The sequence below is a fragment of the Homo sapiens genome, chromosome 10, assembly GCF_000001405.40.
Source record: "Homo sapiens chromosome 10, GRCh38.p14 Primary Assembly".
NCBI lineage: Eukaryota > Metazoa > Chordata > Mammalia > Primates > Hominidae > Homo > Homo sapiens.
Genome location: NC_000010.11, coordinates 113,525,530 through 113,535,001, shown reverse-complemented (window position 1 = coordinate 113,535,001; position 9,472 = coordinate 113,525,530). Strand labels below are relative to the sequence as shown.

Below are 9,472 nucleotides of genomic sequence, written 5' to 3'. Positions count from 1 at the left end.
TTTGCTTCCTGTGGCATCTCTGGAAACTTCTATGTTTCCATGATCTCAGCTTCCCGAGAATCTGGTGGAATTTTACTGGTTGCTATGACAGGGAACTTCCTTGAATATGTCCACGTGCTAAGTGCTTCACATGCCTCTTAATATTTTTTAATCCCCTTAATAGCCCTATGAAGAAGATGCTACAATCCATATCCCCATTTTACAGATGGGGACACTGAGTCTCAGAGAGGTTAACTTGCCCGCTGCTGTCCCACTGCCAGTCAACAGTGTAGCCAGATGGTGAACTGAAGCAGTGTGACTCCAGAGCCCATGCTCATTTTACTCACCGAGGCTGTCTGTGTTACAGGTAGTCTGTGCAGCCAGCTCAGGCCTCGCTGTAATCAGCAAACCACATCCCTAACCACCAGGCTGAGCCACCCCCAAAGGCTGTGGCAGTTAAAGTTTTAACAGACACAACTAGCTGGGCCAGAGAAAGACTCTGCAGCTTTGATGGGAGACAGGATCCCATCCGGGCAGTTCCAGGAGATGGCTTTGCTTTGAATAGATAACTCAATATAAAGGAGAAGAGAAAATGGAGGGGTGGAGAGAAGGGAGAGGTAGGGAGGGGGCGTGGAGAGAAAGTCCCCTGTTTCACAGAGCCCAGCCCCGAGGAGACACTCTCTGATGACCAGGGGGAAGGCTTTGAAAAGTGGAGGGGCAGCACCTCAAACCCTGCTCCCTGAAAGTGGGGGTGGATCCCGGCAGAAATCACATGAGGACCCCTGCTGTGGAGCCGGGAGACCGGAAAAGAGTTCAGGTGATAAAAAAAAAAAAAAGATGTTAATAGAGTAATAGAGGACTGAAATGCATCTGTCTGTAATTCCAGTCTTCTAATTCCACTTTTGAAATCCTGGAGAGAGAGCGTTGGCAAGCTGCTGCATCCTCCAGCCCAGCCAGGCTCTGCTCATCCCAAGATGCTGCTCGAAGCCGGGCACATCTTTTGTTGGTTTATGATGGGAAAGTCGCCATGTTAAATGTGGCCAAGCAAGCATCTGGGTTTGAGTGACTCTCTCCCTCCGTCTCCCAGGTCCCTGAACTCTTTGCTGGCCACAGATGATAACATCTGGAGAGGACCCCTCTTCCCACAAAAATGGGTTCACAAAAAAGGAACCCCAGCCGGGTGTGATGACTCATGCCTGTAATCCCAGCACTTTGGGAGGCTAAGGTGGGCGGATCACTTGAGGCCAGCAGTTCGAGACCAGCCTGGCCAACATGGCGAAACCCTGTCTCTACTAAAAATTAGTGGTGGCGCACACTTGCCATCCCAACTACCTGGGAGGCTGAGGCATGAGAATTGCTTGAATCCAGGAGGCGGAGAGATTGCAGTGAGTCAAGATGGTGCCACTGCAATCCAGCCAGTGAGACTCAAATGAAAAAAAAAAAAAAGGAACCCCAAGGATGCCTCCAGTCCATTCTCCAGAAAGAACATTTTTAAGCACAAAAATTGGTCCTGTCTCTCCCCTGCTGGAATTCTTTGGTGACTTCCTATTCTGCTTAAAAAAAAAATTTCAAACTCCTTACTAAGCCAACTAGGCCCTGTGTGATCTTGCCCTTGCCTTCTGGAAACCTCACCTTGGACCACTCTCCCCTTCGTCTACCAAGCTTCAGCTGATCAGCCCCCTCTCCATTCCTTAAACACACCCCACTCCCCATCTCTACCACGGGCCTTTGCACACCCAGCTTCCTCTTCTTGTGCCTCCCTTCCAGCTGCTCCCTGGAAGCCTGGCTCCTTTGCATTCTCCAGCCTCAGCTTACGCGCCTGGTGGCATTTCTCTTCAGAGATGAGGTCTATTCTTTTCTGTCTCAACATCCTTTTTAGTAATCCCCCATTACGTGGTTAATTTATGTATTGCGTGTCCCTTTCCCTGGCCTTGCAGGATTCAGGGAACGTCAGGCTTGTCTGACTTGCACAAGCCCCTCCCTCAGTGCTCAGTGCCTAAGCACAAGGTGGGTGCTCAGTGGATGTTTGATGATTCCATGACTGGCTGAAGGAGGACAGGGAGCAGGAAGCAGAGCTGGAAGCTGCTGCAAGAGGAGTGGGACCTGCCAGAGGTGACCATTCCTGGAGGGGCAGGGACGCAGAGTCAGTAGCCAGGGGTTGGCTGGCAGAGAGGGGACTAGGCAAGAGGCAGCCTCTGCAGATCTGCTTCCAGGGTGCCCAGCCTTTCTGTTGGCATCTTACCCTCCACTGGCAAACCCTGTGTGTGGTTAGATTGGGTGGATGTGGGCTCTGATGCCTTCGTTTTATTTGGGTTGGTTGGGCCAGGGATACCAGCTTCTTACGCATTTCGCTCTTTCCTTCTTTTTGCACATCTATGCAACAGCAATAAAGCTGTGAGTGGTTATTCCCCATCCCACCATAATTTTTCGACTATTCTGAGATCATGTCAGGAAAGCATGACAAGAGACATGATGAGGCCAGGCGTGGTGGCTCACTCTTATAATCCCAGCCCTTTGGGAGGCCAAGGCAGGTGGATTGTCTGAGCTCAGGAGTTCGAGACCAACCTGGGCAACACAGTGAAACCCAGTCTCTACTAAAATACAAAAATTAGCCTGGCATGGCAGCATGCGCCTGTAATCCCTGCTACTCGGGAGGCTGAGACAGGAGAATTGCTTGAACCCAGGAGGCAGAGGTTACAGTGAGCCGAGATGGCACCACTGCATTCCAGCCTGGGTGACAGAGCGAGACTCCATCTCAAAAAAAAAAAAAAAAAAAGAGATATGATGAAACACAGAAAAGACACTACAGCATGCACATACAGACATATAAATGTGTGCAAATCATACATGTTCAAAATAATACACATTATTATTTAATATGTATGCTTTATTTACACAAAGGTGACCAGTAGAAGAATTAAGAACTGATTTAGCTATCTTGGGAAGAAGGATGAAAGAGAGGCAGGTGAGTTTTTGGTGAGCTGAGTCTTCATTTATCCCGGTAGAAGGTCAGTAGATAAAGTGCATAGTTGATAAAGCAAGAAGTGGTGGTAGAAACACATTATTTGGAGATATGGAGGTGATCACCAGAACTAAAAATAGAAACAATTTTAACATTTAAAAAGCAGTTGCCTCTGGGTTTGAGAGGGGAGGATTATTTTTCATTATGAGCCAGTTAGTGCTACTTATTTTTGAAATTATGTGTACATATAACTTTGGTACAAAATTTACATTTAAAAAGGATGCAATTCTGTGGTTTTGATAAATTTTAAAAATATTTTATATTTTCTAAAATAGTAATATATGTATTTTGTTTTCTCCAAAAGATAGGACAAGTGAAACTGCAGCAGGAGGATGGAAACAGGTTAGAAGGAAGAAATGCCACTTAAAAATCTGGAAAACAGGCCGGATACAGTGGCTTATGCCTGTAATCCCAGCATTTTGGGAGGCCGAGGCAGGTGGATCACGAGGTCAGGAGATTGAGACCAGCTGGGCCAACACGGTGAAACCCTGTCTTTACTAAAAATACAAAACTTAGCTGGGCGTGGTCCCAGCTACTCAGGAGGCTGAGGCAGGAGAATAGCTGGAACCTGGGAGGCAGAGGTTGCAGTGAGGAGAGATAGCACCACTGCACTTCAGCCTGGCGACAGAACAAGACTCTGTCGCAAAAAAAAAAAAAAAAAAAAAAAAAAATCTGGAAAACAGGTCAGATACAGTGGCTTACACCTAAAATTCCAAAACTTTGGGAGGCCAAGGTGGGTGGATCACTTGAGCCCAAGAGTTTGAGACCAGCCCGGGCAACACAGTGAGCCCTCATCTCTCTCTCTCTATGTAAAAAAAATCTGGAAAAAAAGTTAAGACTGTGCAACTGTGCATGCTGTGCCTCTCCCAGGCTTTTCGGGCTAGTTGCATGGACTGTTGCTTTTTCTGGCATGTTCTCTCCAGTTCCACTCCATTCTGTGTTTCTAGGAATAACTCAGATCCTGGACAGCCATGTAACCCCAACATCTTTCTTCACCATACAATTGTGGGTAGAGAGAATTAATTACAGAGAAACCCACATTGCCCTGAGCAGTGTCAGTAAACAGTACATGAAAATCAAAAGGTCCCTGAGATGTCCAAATCCCTTCAGCAGAGTGTCCTTCCTCGCAGAGCCGAGGGCAGTGCAGATGGGGAGCTCAGGGTCTTCCTGGGGCACCTTCTCCATGTAGCCCCATATTGTCACCTTCCTGCAGTCTCGCTGAGTCCTGCAGACATCGCTGCCATTTCCCTGCGTTCTTGCTTGGCTCCTGGACTGTCTGAATTCTACGTGGCATTCCTCGAAGCTTTAGACAGAAAGGAGAACGAGCGACTCCAGTTTCTCCTTTAGCCGGGAGCCATCTCCCCCTCCCCTACTGCTCTTTCCCTCTTCTCCCGCGGGTCACTCACACTGCTCTGGGAGCTCCGCTTCTCTGACAGCCCCTCCCTGCAGGGCCCTTCCTGGGCACTGGGTTGTGCCACATCCCTGCTCCTGGCTGCTGGGCCTTGCAAGGCCATGTCTGCAGACACTGTAATTCGGTCTTTACAGGTATGACTATAAAATCATATGACTGTTAATTTCATTTTTTGACATAGGGTCTTACTTTGTCACCCCACTGGAGTGCAGTGGCGCAATCTCTGCTCACTGTAGTCTCGACGTCCTGGGGTCAAGTGCTATGCCTGCCTCAGCCCTCTGAGTAGCTGGGACTACAAGCATGCACCACCCTGCCTGGCTAAGTTTTGTATTTTTTTGTAGAGACGGGGTCTTACCACGTTACCCAGGCTGGTCTTGAACTTCTGAGCTCAAGTGATCCACCTCGCAAAGTGCTAGGATTACAGGTGTGAGCCACCACACCTGGCCTGACTTATTTTAAGTCATCAACACCTCCAATGTCCCCTTGGAAGCTCTCAGGCCCTTTGGAAAACTCAGAAATTCCAGTCATGCTGCCATGAATCCTGTGGGGATCCACTTTCAGATCCCATGTCCCAGTAGCTCCTTGGTGCCAGTCTTCAGCCTTCAAGCACAAACATGAGTCCTTTGGGGGCTACAGCCTGCTTCTCTCAAAAAGGCCACAGGTTGGAAACCAGGCATGCTCAAGAAAGGGGGTTACCTTGCTCGTGTGGGTGTGACAGTCCTCTGTGAGTGTCCTTGCCTGAGACTGGAAGCAAAGCTGGCCTTCCCAGCACTTGGTCTTTGCATAACCCAATGTGTGTGCTTTCTATGGTGTGAGCCCGGGCAGGTCAGTGGTCCCAAGGCTCGGTGGGGAAGACGCCATGATGCTTTGACAAAACATGGAGTCATCACCCATGTGGCCTCTGCTCCTTTCCTTTTCCCTCTCCTGTTTCCCTGACTGTCCTTAAGGAAACTCTCACTCTCTATTTGTCCTCCGCGGTCTTGTCTTTCTGTCCTTTGGCGGCAGGGAAAGGACGCAGTCGGCATTTCCACAAACAGCTCAATGCCCAGGCTTTGCCAAGGGGCTTTCTCTTATCTCTCGGCTCTCCTTTCTCAGAACGATGTTCAGGGCCGGTTTCAATTTGGGGATTAATCTAACCAAAGTACAGAATCTACTTCTCTGCATGGAGAATGCGCTCCAGTCTTGTTTATCTGTCCTCCTCTTAACCCCTCCCTGTTGCACCCTAATCTTTGGAGCTTAAAAAGGCTTAAAATGCTTCTTAGGCATGGGATAGTTCTAATACAGCAACTATTGATGAGCTAAACAGAAATGACTTCGAAACTTAGTGTGTGAACTTTCCAACGTGACCGTGTCGCTGCACGTCAAGCAAAAGGGGAAGGAAAGAGTCGTCCTGTTGTCTCATTTTGTCAGATATTTTCTTCCTGGGAAAAGGGTGATCATCAGGATGTTCAAATCTGGAACCTTGACTCTGCCTTTGAGGCAGTGATGCAGAGCCAGTCCCCTCCCTTCACTCGCTCAGCTGATAAGATGGTGACAATCAGCACAGTGGCCTCACCCCAGCACAGCCTAAGCCCAGGGACTCTGAGCTTACCCTTACAGAGGAGTCATTTCCTTCCACATCACCCACTGTTTCCACTGATACACAGCAAAATGTCATAATATAATGTAAACATCAGGTATTATTATTATTGGAGCAGAATCATTTTTTTTCAAGACAGGGTCTCTGTTGCCCAGGCCAGAGTTCAGCGGGGTGATTACAGCTCAATGCAATCTCGACCTCCCAGGCTCAAGTGACCCTCCTGTCTCAGCCTCCTGAGTAGCCGGGACTACAGGCACACACCACCATATCCAACTAACTTTTTTGATTTTTAGTAGAGATGGGGTCTCACTCTGTTGCCCAGGCTAGTCTTGAACTCCTGAGCTCAAGCAATCCTTCTGCCTCAGCCTCCCTAAGTGTTGGGATTACAGATATGAGCCACCGCATTTGGCCCCAAGTTGCCCCTTGCAGTTTGAAAACTGCTTTCACATGCATTATTTCATTTGCTGCTCAGCACAACCCGGTCAGGTAGGTACAAAGATTCCCATTTGCCAGATGAGGAAACTGAGGCTCATAGAGGGGAAATGATTTTCCCAAGGGATCTAGTTACCAAGCTATTGTGTTAGGATTTGACCCCAAGGTTTTGAATCCTCAGCCCCCCTGTGACCCACTCCCAGTCCAGCTGCTTCTGGTAGTGATGGACAAAGTTGCAAGGTCCATGGTGATGGTGGGCAACTGTGGGCAGGGTGCAAGCACTTGGCAGTATCAAGAAAAGTAACCTCCATGATTCATTCTCAAATCAAATCAGTTGCAGGCTCCATTCAATAGGATGGGAAGGGAAAGGACCCAAAAGGTATCTGAGTTGAAATGCTCATGTGAAGAACATCTACCTTGTGAGTTGGGGAATTGGAATCCAGTGACATTCAAATCATGTTGGGTATGTTAAGCTTACCATGCACATGGGAAGGGGGCTGGAGAATGAAGGACAAGGCTAGATGATTGAGAGAGTGTGGATCCTTCTTGGGGAAACAGAGCTTGGGCATCTCTTGATAATTCTATGCCTTTCCCCTCACTCTGCATTTAGACAGGCTGAGCTGGACAAAGAAGGAGAATCTATGAAATGCTATCTTGTCCTGGTAGCCTTCATCAAAGCTGATTTCAGAGAGAAGATGCAGAAACACAAGTTTTGAGGTTGGAAACTTTTGAGGCTGACATTAGCTTCTGAAACTATTGCTTGCATTGTTGAGGAAACAGTAAATATCCCATGCTTTCTTTTGAAATGTTTGTATATTGTACTTATGTGGAAAGACAAAATTGGCATGAGGTGAAAAGAAAGGAATTTAGTAATCAGAAGAGAGGCCAGGACATATTTATGGAAATCTGTGGATATTTTTTCCCGAGTTTTGGAGGAACGAGGCCCCAGGCTGTCTCCTCTAAATCACCCGAGGAACATGTGATATCTACTCTGGGACTCCTGGAATACCCAGTGGTGTCCTAATGAAATAATAATGAGCACATTCCCCCCTCCTCAGCATTTCTAGAGGGAAGACTTACCGTTACCCCAGACAGGGATTAGACCTAATAAATTACACTTCAGGATGCAGGATACACACACAACATCAGGGCTGCGTACACACATGGATGGCCCTGAGCACAGAAAATCCATCATCCTCAGCTTAGACACACAGCAGGCGCCAAGCAGCAGGAAGTGGCCTGGAATATGTCCCAGTGAAGTAGTTCGTGGAGTAGAGAAGGAAATGCCAGCAGTAATGTGGAGGATATTTACCTCTGGGGGATTCCGTGGCCAGAGAGACTTGGGCACTGCATCTGTGAAGCGCTGCCATCTTCCTAAGAGCCTTTTGCCCATCCTTGGGTCTACACAAGGGCTTCTCAATCTTGACACTGTTGACACTTTAGGCCAAACAATTCTTCCACCAGGGCCCAACTCTGTATGGGACTAAGAGCTTGGCTTGGGGTCTAACTGATCTGTGTTCAAATTCCTGCTGTGGGTCCTGCTGAAAGAGTCACACACACACTGGCTGTTAGATCTTTGGTAAGTTGCTTACTTCTCTAAGTCTCAGTTTTCACATGGAGGAAATGGAGACAACAGTGGTCCTTTCCTGGCAGAGTTGCTGGGAGGAAACCATGAGATGATGCCTACAAAATGCTTAGCACGTCCCAGGTGCAATAATAGTGACCCTTGGTTATATATCAAGGTGTGAGACACAGGGCTGATCCGCAGCGAACTTTGAGTCTCATTTCATTAGAGACTAGCAGAAGTCAAAAATAGAACCATTTGGAAATCTTCAATGTCAAAGAGGGGCTAGAAGGCCTCAGAGGAGAGGAGGAAGCACTGGGTGGCAGGTGGTGCTCACTACAGAGGTGGGACGGAGGAAGCTGCAGGAACAATTGGCTCATAATCATCTCCACTTACACTGCACTTGATCTACAAAACTCTTCCTCATCTGTTGCCTCATTTGATCCTTACAGCACAATAGGGCAGACCCCAAGAGACCCCTTTCTTTTCCCTATGACCAGGAAAAAGAGGCTCCCAGATTCTAAGCCAGTTTTTCTAACTCCAAATTCACTCCAGTTTTCAAAGAATTAGAGTATGGTTAAAAAAAAAAAAAAGTACTTAATACTGTTATGATAATAGCTACCATTTGTTGCAGGCTGCAATGTACCAGGTGCTATGCCAAAAGCCTTGAAGACATCACTGCATTTCACTGTCTGCAGAGCCCTACTAGGGAGGCCCTCTTATCATCTACTCTTTGCAGTTAGGGAAGTGGAAGCTCAGAAATATTAAGACACTTGCTCAAGGGGGCAAAGCTGGGATTTGAATCAAGATGGATCTGTCTTCAAATCTGAATGTCTGAGCTCTGATATTCTGCCTGCCCCTCCAAAGAGAAGCATCTCAGAGCTCCCTGTCCCCTTTCTCCCCATGGCCCAGTGCTGCTTGTATAGGTTGGGTGATGGTGGGGAACAGAGAGAGGAATGAGTTTCTTTATGCCTTCAACTCGGACAAGCCCCACCAACTCCAAGGCTCCCTCAGGATGAACCAAGAAGCAGGTGTTAGCCGAGTGTAGGGTCCAGGGTCAGTGAGCACCCCATTCAGTGGGGAACCCCGAGGGGTGCCTGCTGCCACCTACCTCCTCCTAGCCCTAAATAAGGTCACTTTGCTAATGTGTCTTCCCAGGGGGGTCAGAAGTGAAAGCTCCCATGGGTCTCTGAGCTTCCAAACAGCGACTTGGGCTGTGTGATCCTCTAGCCGGGTGCCTGGGTCTCTCTAACTAAGAGCAGGCTCCTTGGGGAGCATGTCCATTTGGACTTTGCACCCCCAGCTCGCGGCAGTGTTCTAGGCCCAGAGAAAGCTCCCAGTGAATGTTCTTGGAATAAATGAGTGAATCCCTGAATAAGTGAATGTTGGTCTTTTATTTCATAGCATTCCTGGTCTCACTTGTGCTCAGGATCCAGGGATAGAACAGCATCAGAAGTCCCTGTGCACCATCCTCCAAAGGCCTGT

The 9,472-nt window shown here is 48.0% G+C and overlaps 1 long non-coding RNA gene across 1 annotated transcript; it reads right to left on the bottom strand.

Annotated features, from left to right (window-relative positions):
* Positions 1-2,848: 2,848 nt before the first annotated feature.
* Positions 2,849-7,825, bottom strand: LOC124902504 (uncharacterized). The gene is made up of 2 exons (XR_007062293.1): positions 7,736-7,825; positions 2,849-3,071 (listed from the first exon to the last, which is right to left on the bottom strand). It is a non-coding gene; the product is annotated as an uncharacterized LOC124902504 (long non-coding RNA).
* Between the last annotated feature and the right edge of the window lie 1,647 nt (positions 7,826-9,472).